The 18,203-nt window shown below is 45.4% G+C and overlaps 1 protein-coding gene across 23 annotated transcripts in view; it reads right to left on the bottom strand.

Annotated features, from left to right (window-relative positions):
• The window catches only part of ZNF254 (zinc finger protein 254), a 96,520-nt gene that overhangs the window by 55,487 nt on the left and 22,830 nt on the right, over positions 1–18,203 (bottom strand). For 3 of the 23 annotated variants that reach the window (XM_047439750.1, XM_047439738.1, XM_047439744.1), the window contains 3 exons: positions 16,376–16,551; positions 10,541–10,666; positions 7,307–9,019 (listed from right to left, as the gene is read on the bottom strand). The exons of 9 other annotated variants lie outside the window; for them this stretch is intronic. The gene's annotated coding sequence lies outside the window, so the exon portion shown is untranslated. Of the gene's footprint in view, positions 1–7,306; positions 10,667–16,375; positions 16,552–18,203 lie in introns of all 23 variants that reach the window. 11 more of the 23 variants (XM_047439742.1, XM_047439739.1, XM_047439745.1 and 8 more) reach the window with 6 other exon arrangements.

The following is an 18,203-nucleotide window of genomic DNA, read 5'->3' as shown; positions in this document are numbered from 1 at the left end:
ATGTCACAATCTCTCCTATAGGCCAAACCCAAGTAAGAGTCACAGCACAAAGATGATGGATTCACAGATATGTCACTGTGCTTGCTATGGGCAGGGTTTGGACAGAAGGCTCACATCACCTTGTTTAGCCCAGCAGTATGTCACAATCTACATTGAGAGCAGAACCTACTTAGAAGAGAAGAGTCACTTCAGCTCGATGCTGGGCCCAGTAATAGAAAAAATTATTTATGTGTGCAGGGACCTGGTAGAATAAGAGAGTCACATTACCTTGGTGATTGGTACAGAGATAGGTTGTAATGCTTCCTTTAGGCAGAACCCAGCAAAGAGAGTTACATCACCTGGATGCTGCACATAGCAATATGTCACAATGACCCATAATGGCAGGGCACAGGAATGAGAGTCACATAACCAAGGTGTGGGGCTCAGCCATATGTCTCAATGCCTCCCTGTGGGCAGTGCTGAGGCAAATGTAGTCACACCACCTAGGTGTTGGGTCTAGTGATGTGTCATGATCTAATCTGTGGGCTGGGCACCAGGGAGGAGAATCAAATTACTCAGGTGCTGGTCAGAGGTGTATGTTGCAATACAGTTGCAGGAAAATGTAGGGATAAAATTAACAATCCTGCACATGTCCCATTTCTAGGTATTAGAGTCAACACTTTTTGTATGTTGAGTCTGAGTACATCAGTTACAATCTCAAAGGTGGACTGAATACATGCATAAGAGCCTCAATCTATGCTGTGGACTGTGTCCCCTTAGTGGAGTCACAGCCTCAGCGGTATGTTGAATCTTGGTCTGAGAGTCATCAACCCACATATAGCCCAAATCCATGTATGAGAGTCAATTTTCCAGCTTTTGGCTACCTCCAAATATGAGAATCAGAACTTCAACAGTGAGCTGTATTCATGTGGAAAGATGACAATCTTTACTGTCGGCTGGGTGTGCATGTGTCACAATGTCACCTGTGTTCTGGGCCTCATTATAAAACTCTCTGTACCATCTGAGGTCTTTATACAGTATTCATGAAAGTCACAATTTTCTCTGAAACTTTCTTCCTGGTATGGATTCATAATCATACCTGTGAACCTAAGTCCATGTATTTGAGTCAACATCTCTCCAAATGGCTGGGTCCCAAGAAGAGACTCTTCACCTGCCTATGAGCTGGATTTTGAAATTAGTCACCATGTTAACTGTAGTGGCATGATCACATGTAACAGAATTTTTACTGTGGACTGCATGCACCTGTGAAATTCAGGATCTCTCCAGTGGGCACTGTCCATGGGTCAGGGTGACAATGCTAACATTTGGTAGGTTGTGCATATGAGAAACACAGTCTCACCTGTGTGCTTGGTCTTGTGATGACACTCTCTGTACCATCCAAAGACTTTATATAAAATGTGAAAGAAAAGTAATCCTTTATGACATTATCTAGAGAAGACCCAGGAATTTACCCATTTCTCCAAGTATAGTTACAAGTGCCAGTAACTCTCCTTTTGGCTGGTTTGTGGTATTAGTGTCATCACCACAACTGTGAGCTTGGCTAAGGTATATGTCACAACCCAAACTGTGAGTAGAAAGAAAACAGGAGAGTAACATCACCTGGGTGCTGGGTCAGAAATATGTCACAATTTTTCCAGGGTAGGGATCAGACAGAGAGTCATATCACCTGGTTGCCTGACCAGGGTTATGTTACAATTCTCTCCTGAAAGCAAGGCACAGACAACAAAGTCACATTACTTGGATACTGGGCCAAGTTATATGTCACAGTTTTCTCTGCAGGTAAGACCTGGGTACACACCTGGTTGCTGAACCCAGAGGTATGTCACAATTTTCTGTGTGGTCATGGTGCAGATGGAAGAGGAGAGTCACACCTCCAAAGCAGTGGATGCAGAGATGTGTCACAAGGCCTCTTGTGGGCAGGGCCCAGGCAAGAGCCTTTCACCCATTTGGTTTGACCCAGAAATATGTCTTAATACCCAAAATACACAGGGCTGATGAGGAGGGTAATAAGGCGTGGCACAGTGGCTCACACCTGTAATATCAGCACTTTGGGAGGCGGAGGCAGGTAGATCGCTTGAGGTCAGGAGTTCGAGACCAGCCTGGCCAACATGGCGAAACCCCATCTCTACGAAAAATACAAAAATTAGCCAGGTGTGGTGGTGCATGCCTCTAACCCCAGCTACTCGGGAGGCTGAGGCAGGAGAATTGCTTGAACCCAGGAGGTGGCTGTTGCAGTGAGCCGAGATCATGCCACTGCACTCCAGCCTGGGTGACAGAGCGAGACTACATCTCAGAAGAAAAAAAAAAAATGAAAAAGAAAAACAGAAAGAGACTGGTACCACCAGATGCTGGGTCCAGTGATATGTCACAATCCCCCCTTTATACAGAGCTCAAGTAGAAAAGGACAGTTACATCACTTAGGTTATAAACAAAATGATTATGTCATAATTTCCCTATTAGAAGGGCTCAAGCAGGAGAATCACACCATCTACCTGTTGGACCCAGCCATATTTCAATATATACAATTTTTAATAAACACAATATACAATTTGCATATTGAAATATGGCTGAGTCCAACACCTAGGTGATGTGACTCTCCTGCATGAGCCCTGCTAATAGGGGAATTATGACATATCATTTTGTTCATCACCTAAGTGATGTAACTCTCCTTTCCGTCCTGAACCCTGTAGAAGCAGAGGAGAGTCACATCACCAAGGTGCTGGGCCCAGCAATACATCACAATCCCTCCTTGGGCAGAGCCCAAGCATTAGAAGAGATGTAGTCTCACTCTGTCACCCAGGCTGGAGTGCAGTGGCATTAGAAGCATTATAGCTAGGTCAAAAAAATATGGCACAATACTTCCTGAAAAATGAAGGGTCCATGCAGCAGTCTACCTAAATTAGAGCTTCAGAGGTATGTCAAAATGCCCTATGTGGGTGAGGCTCACGTAGAAGAGAAAAGTCGCATAACCTAGGCCCTTCACCTAGTTATACGCCACAATCACCCCAGTGGGAAGCACCCAGGCATGGGGAAAAATTATGTAGGTGCTGAGACAAGTGATCTGTCACAATCCCCACTGTTGACAGGTCTCAGAGACAAAAAATAGTCATATCATCTTGTTTAGTAGGCCAGGGACATTCACTATGTCTCCTGTGGACAGGGAACAGGCAGAAATATTACATCACCTGTGTGCTGTGCCTAGGGATTAGTCACTCCCCCTTCTTGGTCAGGGCCCAGGAAGGAGCAAAGAGTAACATCACGTAGGTGCTTGGCCCAGATATGTTACAATGTCTCTTAGGGAAAAGCCTATGTAAAAGTCGAGAGTAGGGGGCCTTCTCTTTTGGCTTTGGAGCTCCCCTCCCTCTGTCTCTGCATAGGGGAGCTTCTTCTTTCTGTCTTCTCCCTTCCTTCTTGCCTATTAAACTCTCCACTCCTTAAAACCAAGAAAAAAAAAGTGGAGAGTAACATCAAATAGATGACGGGTTCAGAAATATGGCAAAATTGGCCCCTGTAGTCAGGATATAGGTAGGAGATTCATATTACCTGGGTGTTAGACCCAGCAATATGTTACAATAGCCCATGTGGGCAGGGCATAAAAAAGACAAACAAATTACCTGGGTGCAGGGACCAGTGATATGTCACAATGTACTCTGTGACAGGAACAAGGAAAGAGTATAGGGTCACATCATCTAAATACTGCTTCAAACAATATGTCCCAATCCCATCTGTGTGCCAGGCCCAGGCAGGAGAGTCAAATTCCTCAGGTTTTGAGCAGAGATGTGTGTCACAATCACACATGCAGAAAGGCTCAGGAATAACATGAATAATTCCTCACATATTCCCATTCTAGGTATGAGAGGCAAGACCATTTGGAGGTTGGGTCTAAGTGCAGAAATCACAATCTCAATATGGATGAATTCATGAAAAAGAGCCTCAATCTCTCCTTTAGACTCTGTCTTCTCAGTAAAATCATAGCCTCACAGGTGCACTGAATCTTGGTCTGAGTCACCAGCCCAGCTGTGGAGCAGATCCACACATGGGAGTCAACTTTGCAACTTCCCACTGCCTCCAGGGTTGAGATTCAGAACTTCAGAAGTAGGTTGTGTTTTTCTAAAAGGATGACATATTTACTGTTGACTGGTTGTGAAAACCAGCATCACAATGTCACCTGTGTGCTGGGCCATGTAAGGGCATTCAATGCATTACCTGAGGACTTTATGCAATATGCATGTGAGTCGCAATCCACTCTAAGACATTTGTGATGGTATGGACCCTTGATAGTACATGCTGCTCTAATCCCAGAAATGAGAGTCAACATCTCTCCAATTGGCTGATCAATATAGGAGAGTCCTCATCTGCCTATGAACTACATTTAGAAGTGAGTCATCATTTGTAGCTTTAGAAATGAGACATTCCTGGCTCGATGTTTGCATATCACAGTCACAATTCCAACTGTGGACTGCATCTGCATATGAGATTCAGGACCTCACCAGTGGGCTCTATTTTGAGGTTACAATTGTAATGAGCGGCAGGATGTTTTTATTTCTTTTTCCTTTTGAGACAAAGTCTCACTCTGCTGCCCAGGCTGGAGTGTAGTGGCCTCCTGGGTTCAAGTGATTCTCCTGCCTCAGCCTCCTGAGTAGCTGGGACTACAGGCATGTGCCACCACATCTGGCTAATTTTTTGTATTTTTAGTAGAGATGGGGTTTTACCATGTTAGTCAGGATGGTCTCAATCTCCTAACCTTGTGATCCGCCCACCTCGGCCTCCCAAAGTGCTGAGATTACAGGCGTGAGCCGGCCTCCCAAAGTGCTGAGATTACAGGTGTGAGCCACCACACCTGGCAGAATATTCTTTTTTTTTTTTTTTTTTTTTTTGAGATGGAGTCTCACTCTGTCACCAAGGCTGAACGGCAGTGGCGTGATCTTGGCTCACTGCAACCTCTGCCTCCTGGGTTCAAGCAATTCTCCTGCCTCAGCCTCCTGAGTAGCTGGGATTAGACACCCGCCACCACGCCTGGAGAGTTCTTATATTTTTAGTAGAGATGGGGTTTCACCATGTTGGCCAGGCTGGTCTTGAACTCCTGACCTCGTGATCCACCTGCCTCGGCCTCCCAAAGTGCTGGGATTACAGGCTTGAGCCTGGCCAGGATGTTCTTTTAAGAAACACAATCTTGGGCTGGGAGCAGTGGCTCACACCTATAATCCCAGCATTTTGGGAGGCCAAGGTGGGCAGATCACCTGAGGTCAGGAGTTCAAGACCAGCCTGGCCAACATGGTGAAAACTCATCTGTAATAAAAATACAAAATTAGCTGGGCTTGGTGGCACACATCTGTAGTCCCAGCTACTCGGGAGGCTGAGGCAGGAGAATCACTTGAACTCAGGAGGCAGAGGTTACAGTGAGCTGAGATCATGCCACTGCACTTTAGCCTGGGTGACAAAGTGAGACTCCATCTCCAAGAAAGAAAAGAAAAGAAACGCAATATCATCAGTGTTTTTGTCCCTTGATGACACTCTCTGTGCCACCCGAGGGCTTTATAGAATATTTGAGAGAGTGTTAATTCTCTATGACCTTGGCAAAAAGAGGAGACTAAGGATTATGTTTGTTTTCCTAAGCCTAGCTAGGAGAGACTATAACTCTTTTATTGCCTGGTTCAAGGTATAAGAATCATCATAGCAATTGCAAGCTGAAGCAAGATATATGTCCCAATGACACTGGTGGGTAGGAAGTGAGCAGAAGAGTGACATCACCTGGGTCTCATCTAAAGGTATGTCACAATCTTTTTTGAAGGCAAGGACCAGACAGGAGAGTCATATCACATCATCTAGGTTCTTGGCTGGGGATGGATTAAAATCTAATCCTATAAGATGGCTGCAGGTAGACTGGGTGCAGTGGCTCATGCTGGTAGTCCCAGCACTTTGGGAGGCCAAGGCAAGTGGATCACCTGAGGTCAGGAGTTAGAAACCAGCCTGGCCAACATGGTGAAACTCCACCTCTACTAAAAATACAAAAATTAGAACGGTGTGGTAATGCATGCCTGTAATCCCAGCTACTTGGGAGGCTAAGGCAGGAGAACTGCTTGAACCCAGGAGGCAGATTTTGCAGTGAGCCAAGATCACATCGCTGCACTCCAACCTGGGCAACAGAGTGAGACTCTGCCTCAAAAAAAAAAAAAGGCTAGATAGGCACAGGCCACAAGTCACATCACCTGTGTGCTGGGCCCAGTGATATGTTACAACGCTCTCTGTGAGCAACACCCTGAGAGGATAGACACATACCTGGTGGCTGATCCCAGTGATATGCCACAATATTTTCTTTGTGCATGGTGCATGTAGGTGAGGAGAGCCACGTTTCTTAGGTGATGGATGCCAAAATATGTCACGAGGCCATCTGTGGGCAGGGCCCAGGCAGAAGCCTCTCATCCCCTAATGTCAGATGCAGTGATATGTAACAACATGTAAAATATGAAAGGTCCAGCCAAAAGATGAGTTACATCATCTAGGTGCTGGACCCACTGACACAACACAATTCCCTTGTGGCAGGGTACAGGCTGATGAAGAGTCACATCACTACCTAGGTGATGAATAAAAAGTTATTTCATAATACTCTTGTGGCCAGGGCTTATGTGGAAGACTCACATTACCTGGGTGGCAGACCCAGCTACACGTCACAATGCAAAATATTTGTAGGGTCCAGGCAAGAGAAAAGAGTCCCATTACGTAGGTGCTGGGCCCAGTGATGCATCACAATCCCTTTTTGGTCAGAGTCCAAGCAGTAGAGGAAGGGTCGTATCACCTAAATGCTGCATTCAGCAACATGTCACAATACCCTCTGAGAGGACAAGCCAGAAAGAAAAGTCACATCACCTAGGTAAAAGACCCAGAAATATTTAATAATGCAATCTTTTCATAGGGCTCAGGAAGAAAACAGGAGTCAGATAACGTAGGAGCTGGGCCCAGCTATATGGCACAATCACTACAGTAGGCAAGGCCTTGGCATGAGAGGAGAGTCACATCAGATATGTGCTGGGCCCAGCGATATGTCAAATTTCCTACTGTGGACTGCTCCAGAAAGATAAAAAGAGTCCTGTCATTTAGCCAACTGACCCATAGATATGTCACAATGACCATTTCGGCAGGAACCAAGCAGAAGAATCACATCCCCTGTGTGCTGGGCCCAACAATAAGTCACTCTTGCTTCTATTAGCATGACCCAGGCCCAAAGGTATATTAAAAGCTAACCTATGGACAAAGTGAAGATAAGAGAGGAGAGTCACATAAAATAGTTGACGGGCAGAAAACTCACATCATCTAGGTGTAGGGCCCAGCAATATGTCACAAGGTCTTACATGGGCAGGTCCAAGAAAAAAAATATATCCCTTTGGTGCTTAGTTCAGTAATATTTCACAATCTTTCCTGCAGGAGAAAAACTAAGAAATAAAAGAAAAAAATTAGCTATACGCTGTGAAAGGTCACAATTCTTCCTGGGGGCAGAGACCAGGTAACACAAGAGAGTCACATCACCTGTAGGATTGGTGCAAAGACATTTGTATTTTTATTTTATTTTATTTTATTTTTTTTGGAGATGGAGTCTCACTCTGTTGCCCAGGATGGAGTGCAGTGGTGCAATCTCAGCTCACTGCAACCTCCACCTCCTGGACTTAAGCGATTATCCTGCCTCAGCCTCCTGAGTAGCTGCAACTACAGGCACCAATCACCACACCTGGCTGATTTTTGTGGTTTTATTTGTTTTGTTTTGTTTTGTTTTGTTTTGTTTTGTTTTGTTTTGTTTTGTTTTAGTAGAGACAGGTTTTCACCATGTTGACCAGGCTGGTCTCGAACTCCTGACTTTGTGATCTGCCCACCTTGGCCTCCCCAAGCGCTGGGATTACAGACATGAGCCACCATGCCCAGCCACAAAGACATTTCAAAATGCCTCCTGTAAGCAAGGCCTAGGCATAAAAGTTACATCACCTGAGTGTTAAACCCAGCAATATGTCACAATGCCCCAAGTGGGCAAATCACAGGCAGAAGAGTCACAAATTATCAGTGCAGGGCCCAGCAATATGTCACAATGTTCCCTGAAGGCAAACCTAAAAGAAGAATCACATAAGCTAGGTGTTGGGTGTAGCAATATGCTACAGTTTCCCTGTAAGCAAGGACCAACAGAAGAAGAGAGTCACATCATCTGGATGCTGGGCCCAGTAATATGTCAATCATCTTTCCTGTAATAAAGACCCAGGCAGGAGAAATATATCATCTGGTTGCTGACCACAGCAATATGCCACAACTTTCTGTGTAGGCAGGGTGTAGGCAGAAAAGGAGAGTCACATCTCCTGGATGAGGAATGCAGAGACATGTCACAATGTCCCCTGTAGGAAGGGCCTAGGTAGGAGACTCCCATCCCTTAGGTGTTGAGTTCAGCAATATGTCACAATACCCAAATATGCAGAGCCTGAAAAAAAGAGGAGAGTCACATCACCTAGATGCTAGGCCAGTGATGTGTCACAATTTCTCTGTGAGCAGAGATCAGGCAGGAGAAGAGAGTAACATTACCATGATGATGGGCATTGAGTTATGTCACAAGGTCCCCTGTAGGCAGGCCCAGAAAAAAAGTTACATCCATCACCCAGGTGTTGAACCCAACAATATTTAACAATGTCTAATGTGATATATTGTGCCACAACAGGTAAGGCACATTTGGGAGAGTCATAACATGGGTACAGGATTCAGCAATAATTGACAATACCCAAAATTTGCAGGATCCCTCCCACAAAAAAAGGGAGAGTCAAATCACCGAGGTGCTGGATTCAGCGATAAATCACAATCTTACATTTGGACTGAGACCAGGCAGCAAAATCAAATCACTCGGGTGCTGAACATAGGCATATGTAACAATCACACCCACAGGAATGTCCAGTAATGAATTAACAATCCTGCACAGGTCCCAGTTCTAGGTATGAGAGTCACCACACCATTACATCTGTGTGCTTGGCCAAGTTATATGTCACAATTCCACCTGTGGGTAGAGAACAAGCACAAGAGTCACATCAACTGTGTGCTGAGCCAGGGTTATGTCACAATCTTCCCTGACAGCATGCACCAGCAAGGAGAGTCACATCACAGAGTTCTCAACCAGAGATGTTATAATCCTCTCCTGAAAGCAGGGCATAGGAAGAAGAGTATGATCACCTGGGTGTCACAAGGCTCACTGTAGGCAAAGCCCAGAAAAGATAGACAAAACACCTGGTTCCTGGGCCCAGCAATATATCACAATCTTCTCTATGGGAAGAAGGCAGGTAGAAGTAGAGGGTTTCATCTCCCAGGTGATGGATAAAAAAATATATTCCAAGGCCCTCTGTGGGAGGGGCTCAGGCAGAAGCCTTCCAACCCCTAGGTGTTTGTTTCAGTGATATGTCACAATAACCAAAATATGCAGGTCTCAGGCAAGTGAGAAGAGCCACATCACCTAGGTGCTAGGTCCAGTGATCTGCCACAAATTTTTCTTTTGGCAGTGCTCAAGCGGAACAGAAAAGTCAAATCGCCAAGATAATGAATGAAAAGATGTGTTAGAATAGTTCTGTGTGAGAGCCCACACAGGAAAGTCTCATCATAATGTTGTTGGACCCAGAGACATGTTGAAATACATGATGCCAGCCAGGTGCGGTGGCTCACACCGGTAATCCCAGCACTTTAGGAGGCTGAGGTCGGTGGATCACCTGAGGTTGGGAGTTCGAGACCAGCCTGACCAACATGAAGAAACCCCATCTCTACTACAATTAGAAAAATTAACCGGGCTTGGTGGCACATGCCTGTAATCCCAGATACTCAGGGGGCTGAGGCTGAAGAATTGCTTGAACCTGGGAGATGAAGGTTGTGGTGAGCTGAGATTGCACCATTGCAATCCAGCCTGGGCAAAAGGAGCAAAACTCCATCTCAAAAACAAACAAAAAACACAAAAACACATATTGCATGCAGGTCTCAGGCACAAGAGGAGAGTTAACATCACTTAGGTGCTGGATGCACCCAAATGCACATCACAATTTCCTCTTAATCACACCCCAAGCAGTAGCAGAGACTCCTATCATCTAGCATGTTGGTCCAGCAGTATTTCACAATACCCCTGAGGGGTGGGCCTAGGTAAAAAAGTAATATTACCTAGGTGAGAAGCCTAGAGATACGTCACAATGTCCTTTGTGGGTAGGGCTTAGAAAGGAGAGACACAGCCTAGGAGCTGGGCTCAGCTTTATGTTCCAGTAACCCCAGTGGAAAGAGGCCAAGAATGAGAAAGAGTCACATCACATAGGAGCTATGTCACGTGGCATATCACAATTCCCACTGTGGACAAACTCCAGAAGAAAAAAGTCACATCATCTAGGTGGGAGGCCCAAACATGTATCACAGTGACTCCTGTGTACAGGGACCAGGCAGAATAATTACACCACTGTTTTGCTTGCCCCACCAATACGTCACTCTATTCTGTGGGCATGGCCCAGGCAGAAGAGGAATGTCACATCACATAGGTAAAACGGGCATTTACCTCAGCTTTGCCCGTAGAAGAGATTGTAATGGGTCAAGAAATGTGTCACAATGCTCCCTGTGGTCAGGCTTCAGGCAGAGGACTCACATCTTCTTAGTGCTGAGCCCAGCCATGTCTCAATGCCTTCTAAGGGCAGAGCCAAAGCAAAAAAAAAAAAAAAGTAACATCACCTTAGTGTTAGGCACAATCACATGTCATAATCTCTTTTGTGAGCAGAACCCAAAAAAAAATTGTCACATCAGCTACGTGCTGGGCCCAACAATATGTTCCAGTACCCCCTGTGATTAGGGACAGGCAGGAAAAGTAAGTCACATTTCCAGGGTGATTGGTGAAGACATATATTACAATCCCCTCTGTAGACCGGTCCAGGATGAAGTGTTACATCACCTGGTCGTTGGACTCAGGCTATGTGTTTAGGGCACAAGCAAAAGATAAACATAACATAGGCCCAGCAATATGTCACAATACATCTGTGGGCAGCACCAAGGCAGAAGAGCCGACTCACACCACCTGGGTGCAACACCAAGCAATGTCACAATGACCACTGTGCGCTTTATCAAAGCAGAATAGAATCACATTACCAAGGGTATGGGCCCGGTGATATGGCACTGTGGACTGGTCCCAGGAAAAGACAAATAACTCAGATGCTGGGCTAAGATGTATGTCACATGACACTTGTAGAAAGGTCTTGTGATGACATTAACAATTACACTCATGTCCTGAGTCAAGGAATGACAGTCAACACTTCCTGCATGTTGGGTCTAAGTACAGGGGTCAGTCTCAATGGTGGACTGGATTTGTGCATAAGAGCCTCAATTTCTTTTGCAAATTATGTGCCTTAGTCTAGGCAAGGAGGCTCACACCTGTAATCCCAGCACTTTGGGAGGCTGAGGTAAGTGGATCACTTGAGGTCAGGAGTTCAAGACCAGCCTGACCAACATGGTGAAACCCCAGTTCTACTAAAAATACAAAAAATTAGCTGGCATAGTGGTGGGCACCTGTAATCCCAGCTACTCAGGAGGCTGAGGCAGGAGAATCACTTGAACCCAGGAAGCAGAGTTTGCAGTGAGCCAAGATCGTGCCACTGCTCTCCAGCCTCGGTAACAAGAGCAAAACTCCATCTCAAAATAAATAAATTATGCTCCTTAGTGAAGTTGCAGTCACAAAGGTGTGCTGAATTTTGGTTAACGAGTCACTAACCCAACTGTGGACAAAAATCCACAAATGAGAGTCAATTTTCCAACACTCAGCTGCCTCCAAAAGTGAGATTCAGAACCTCAAAAGAAGAGTGTGTTTAAGTGGATGACAATCTTTGGTATTGACTGGGTGTGAATATAAATTTCAGTCTCACCTGTGTGCTTCTCTCTGTCAGGACACTCTCTTGTGGACTGTATATGGTGTGCCTGAGAGTTGCAACCTGCTCTGAACACATGATCTAATGTGGTCCCAAGTCTAGGTATGACATTTAACATCTCTCCAATTAGCTGGGTCCAGAGAGGAGAGTCCTCACCACTATGAGCTGGGTTTAGAAATGATTCACCATCTCAAGTGTGGCCACATGTTCACATAAGATAGTCACAATTTTAAGTATGGACTGCATCCATCCATGAGAATTATGACCTCATCAGTCAGTGGGCTCTTTCATGTGTGAGGATGACAATCCTAAAAACTGGCAGGATGTGCTTACATGAAACATGATCTAACCTGTTTGCTGGGTCCTATGGTACAGAAGACATGCTCTGTACCATCCAAGTGCTTTACACAATATACAAGAGAGTGGTAATTCTCTATAACCTTCATACAGAGAGACCACCAGGATTTTACTCCTTTTTCTTTTTCTTTTTTTTTTTTTTTGTGAGACAGAGTTTCACTCTTGTTGCCCAGACTGGAGTGCAACGGTGTGATCTCAGCTCACCACAACCTCCACCTCCTGGGTTCAAGCGATTCTCCTGCCTCAGCCTCCCGAGTAGCTGGGATTACAGGCACGTGCCACTATACCTGGCTAATTTTTTGTATTTTTAGTAGAGACAGGGTTTTTCCATGTTGGTCAGGCTGGTCTTGAACTCCCGACATCAGGTGATCCGTCCACCTCTACCTCTTGAAGTGCTGGGATTATAGGCGTGAGCCGCCACACCCAGCCAGGAATTTTACTCCTCTTTCTAAGCCTACCTGTGAGAGACAGTGTCTCTTCTATTGGCTGGTAGGAGGTATTAGAGTCACCATCAAACCTGTGAGCTGGGCCGAGATATATGTTACCAACCAACTTGTTGGCACAAACCACCCAGGAGAGTGACATTACCTGGATGCTGGGCAAATGATATGTAATTTTTTTCCCTGAGGGCTGTGAAAAGGCAGGAGAGTCACATCATCTGGGTTTTCAACCAGTGGCATGTTACAATTTTCTCCTGAAAGTTATGCACATGCAGGAGAGACATATCACCTGGTGGCTGGGCCCTGCAGTGTGTTACAACCTTTCCTGTGGGGAGGGTGCAGGTAGAAAAGGCATCACATCTTTTATGTAATGGATGCAGATATATGTCACAAGAACCCCTGTGGACAGGGCTGAGGTGTTTGGCCCAGTGAAATGTCACAATAACCAAAATATGTGGTTGTTAGACAGAAGAGTCACATCACCTAAGTTCTGGTTCCAGTGATATGTCACAATCTTTCCTTTTGACAGGGATCAGAGAGGAGTCACATCGGTTAGGTGATGAACAAAAATAAATGTCTCAATAACCCCATGCTCACGGTCCATGTGAGAGAGTTGAATCACCCATGTGTTGAACCTAGTGAAATGTCAAAATATACAATTTATGCAGGGCCCAGGCAGGAGAAGACAGTACCTTCACCTAGGTGTCAGCCCCAGTGATACATCACAATACCTTCTGTGACAGAGTCCAAGCAGTGGAGAAGAATCACATTACCTAGGTGCTGAGTCAAAAACTATGTCACAAAAATCAATGAGGGTAGGGCCCAGGCAGGAGTCAAATTACCTAAATTAGGGGCTCAGGGATATGTTGCAATGACCTCTGTGGGTAGGACTCAGGAGAAACAGGAGAGTCACATAATCAAGGTGCTGAGTAAAGCTATATGACACAATCACCCAAACTGATAGGCCCAGGCAAAAGAAAGGAGTCATATCACATAGGTGCTGGGCCAAGTGATGTGTCACAATCTTCATTATGGACAGTTCCCAGGAAGGAGAGTCATATCATCTAGATGATGAACCTAGAGATGTCACAATAAGCCATGTGGGCTGGGATAATGCAGAAGAATAGAATCATTTGTGTGTTGATCCTAGTATAAGTCACTCTCTTTTTTGTGTGCATGGACCAGGCGGGAGAGTCATAACATCTAGGTGCTGGGCCCAGAGATAGGTCACAAGCTCTACTATTGGCAAAGCCCAGGTAAGAAAGTAGAGTCACATCAAATAGTTGATGGGCCAAGAGATATGTCACAATGCCCCCAGTAGGCAGGGTTTAGGCAGGAGACAAATTACATTGATGCTGGGCACTGTAGTATGTCACAATGTCTTTTAAGGGCAGGGCCAGGCAAAATAATTTCGCTGATGGGCCTAGTGATGTGTTAGTTTTTCTGTGAGCAGAATCTGTGAAGAAGAGGCAAGTAACATCAGCTTGGTGCTGAAACCAGCAATAGATATCATTATCCCCTAGTGAACAAGGACTAGGCAGGTGAAAAGATTCACATCACCTTGGTGATTGGCACAAAGGTACGTAACAATATCCCTGGAAGGCAGTGGCCTGGCAGGAATGTTACATCACCTGGGTATTGAAACCAGCTTCACAATAGCCTAAGTAGACAGGGCACAGGTGGCAGAGTTCCATCACCTGGGTGCTGAGCCCAAGGATATGTCACAATATTCCTGTGGGCAAGGCTCAGGCAGGAGAGAAACATTTTCTAATTGCTGGATCCAGTGATGTCACAATCTTCTCTGTGGGAAGAATGCAGGTAGAAGAGAAGAGTCACATCTTTCTAGGTAATGAGGCCAGAGACATGCCACAAAGCCTCCTGTGGGCAGGGCCAAGGCAGGAACCTCTCATCCCCTAGGTGTCAGTCCCAGAGATACGTCCAATATTCATAATATGCCATGCCCTGGCAATAAAGGCAAGTTACATCACCTAAGTGCTAGGGCCAGGGATATGTCACAATTCCTCTTTCATCAAGACCCAGGCATAAGTGGAGAGTCACACCACTTGGGTGATGAAAGAAAAGAAACATCATCATACCCCTGTAGGCAAAGCCCATGCAGGAGAGTTACATCACCTAGGTTGTGGCCCCAGTGCCAAAATACATAATGTATGCAGGGTTTAGGCAGGAGAAAAGAGTAACATCACCTAGGATCCTGGCTAAGCAATATATCAAACTCTCTTTTTGGGAATATTCCAAGCAGTAGAGGAGAGTCACATCACCTAAGTTCTCAGTCTAGCAATATGTCACAATGCCCCCTGTGAAAATGACTGAAGAATAAGAGCAGAGTAACATAACTTAGGGGCTAGGCCAAGCTGTGTGTCACAATCACACCTGTAAGCAGGGCCTAGTCATGAGAGGAGAGTCGCATCAAGTAAGTTCTGGGCCACACAATATATCACAATCCCCATATGGACAGGTCTCAGGAAGACATCACCTAGGTGCTGGGCCCAGGAACATGTGACAATGTCTCTTACAGGCAAACACAGGGTAGGAAATGGGAGGAGATAATATTAAACATCTGATGGGCCAAGAGATATGTCATAATGCCCTCTGTGGGCAGGATCCAGGCTGGAGACACACATCACCTTGGCGCTGGGGCCATGAATATTTTATAGTGCCTTCTGAGGGCAGGCCCAAGGCAAAAGAATAACGTCATTATGCTGTTGGGCCCAGCGGTATGTTACAATCTTTGCTGCAGGTGGAACCTAGAAAGAAGAGAGGAGTCACACCAGCCAGGTACTGGGCCTAGCAGTATGCCACAAGATGTTTTGTGAGAAGGAACTAGGCAGTAAAAGGCAGTCACATCACCTGGGTGGTGAGCACAGAGATGTGTGACAATGGCTCCTGCAGGCAGAACCTAAATAAGGGAGTTACATTTTCTGGGTTTTAGACCCAGTAATATGTCACAGTGAACCACGTGGGCAAAGCAGAGGAGAGTTAACATAATCTAGGGGTGATGGCAGCAATATTTTACAATGCTCACTGTGGTCAGCACCAAAGCAGGAGAGAAAACTCCCATCACTGGCCGGGCACGGTGGCTCACAACTGTAATCCCAGCACTTTGGGAGGCCAAGGCAGGTGGATCACCTGAGGTCAGGAGTTCGAGACCAGCCTGACCAACATGGAGAAACCCTGTCTCTACTAAAAATACAAAAATTAGCCAGGCGTGGTGGCGCATGCCTGTAATCTAAGCTACTTGGGAGGCTGAGACAGAATTGTTTAAACCCAGGAGGCGGAGGTTGCCTTGAGCCAAGATTGCACCATTACACTCCAGCCTGGGTAACAAGAGCGAAATTCTGTCTCAAAAAAAAAAAAAAGAAAGAAAGAAAGAAAGAAAAAGAAAACTCCCATCACCTGGATGCAAGGCCCAGTGATATGTCCCAATGCCTAATGTGGAAAGCACAGAGGCAAGGAAATGGAGTCACATCACCTAGTTTCTGGTGCAGCGATATGTCACGATTCCATCTGTGGGTTAAATCCAAACAGGAGAGAAAACTCACTTGGGTTCTACACAGAGGCATGTGTCACAATCATAGGTGCAGGAAGGTCCAAATGAGATTAACAATCCTGTACATAACCCGCTTCTGTGTGCAGCAGCAAGGCAGGAGAGGAGACTCACATTACCTGGGTGCAAGGCTCTGAGATATGTTAATGTCTTTTTTGAGTAGCACCAAGGCAGGAGAATAGTTACATCATCTAGGTGCTGGGTCCAGCAGTGTGGCACAATCCTATTTGTAGGCTGGGCCAGTTCTGAAGATCACAATACTCAGCTGCTAGACAGAAGTGTGTCAAAACTGCACCTGAAGGAAAGACCAAGGATGAGACTAACAATCCTGTATATACCCCAATTCTTGGTATGAGAGTCAACACCTCCTGTATGTTAAATCCAAGTACACAAGTCACATTTTTAGAATGAATTGAATCATTGAATGAGAGACACAATCCCTCTTACTGGCTGTTTCACCTTAGTGGAATCACAGACTAACAGTGTGTTCAATCTTGGTCTGAAAGTCACCAACTTAACTTTGGACTGGATTCACTTATAAGAGTAAATTTTCCAACTTGCAACTGTCTCTGGATATGAGATTCAGAACATCCAGTGGATTGTATTCATGTGAAAAGAGGACAATCTTTACTGTCGGCTGGGTGTGCCTGAGTGTCAAAACCTCAACTGTACAATGAGCCTAGTTAGAACATTCCCTGTACCAACCGAGGAATTTATAAGGTTCCCATGAGAGTCGCAATCTTTTGTGACTGGGAGACAATTGTAATGGTATCGACCCATAATCGTACCTGTGGCTCTATGCCCAGATATGAGAGTTAACACCTCTATAATGACTGGGTCCAGATATGAGAGTTGTTACCTCCCTATAAGCTAGGCTTACTAATGAGTCACCACCTCAGCTGTTGCCTGATGTTCACATATGACAGTCACAATTTCAACTCTGCACTGCATCCACATGTAAGATTTAAGACCTCTCCAGTAGGCTTTGTCCATGGATGAGGGTGACAATCTTAACAATTGGCAAAGTGTGCATACATAAATCACAATCCCATCTGTTTTCTAGAGCCGTTATGACACTCTGTATACCACTTGAGGACTTTATACAATATGTGAGAGAGTGTAATTTTCTCTGACCTTCCTAAAAAGAGAAGAGTGACAATCTTACCCATGTACCTAAGCCCACATATGAGAGATAGTATGTCTCCTATTGACTGGTTTCAGATATGACAGCCAACATTGTGCCTATGATCTGAAAAAAGATGTCACAATCTCCACTGTGGATAGGGAGTGAGCAGGAGACTTATATCATCTGGGTAATAGGCCAGGGATATGTCACAAACTTCTCTGAGAGAAGGCACCAGGCAGAAGAATTAAAACCTGGGTGCTCAGTCAGGGATATGTTAAATTTCCTCCTGAAACCAGGGCACAGACAGTACAGTCACATCACCTGGGAGCTGAGACGAGTGATATGTCACAATGCTCCCTATGAGCAAAGCTCAGGCAGGAGAAACACATCACCTGATTTCTGGGTCAGAAGATACGTCACAATCTCTCATTGTGGGGAAACCTTGGTAGAAAAGGAGAGTCACATCAAATAGTTGATGCTCTTAAAGATATGTCACAATGCTCTGTTGTCATGGTCCATACAGGAGACTCATGTCACCATGTTGCTGGGCCCAGCAATATGTCACAATGCCTTTTGAGGTCCAGGCCAAAGCAAACAGTAATGTCACATTGGCATAGAGCTCCACAATATGTCTCCATCTCCCTTGCCAGCAGAACTTATGATGGAAGAAGAACCACACTTGTTGGTACTGAGCCAAGGGATATGTCAAAATTCCCTCTGTGAGCAGGGACCAGGCAGGAGAAGAGAGTCATAACACCTGGGTAATGAATGGAAATATATGTCATAATGCTCCTTTTTGGCAGTAGAGTTACATTACCAGG

This window comes from Homo sapiens, chromosome 19 (assembly GCF_000001405.40).
Source record: "Homo sapiens chromosome 19, GRCh38.p14 Primary Assembly".
Taxonomy (NCBI): domain Eukaryota; kingdom Metazoa; phylum Chordata; class Mammalia; order Primates; family Hominidae; genus Homo; species Homo sapiens.
The sequence above is the reverse complement of the archived record's forward strand: the minus strand, read 5'-3'. Positions and strand labels throughout refer to the sequence as shown.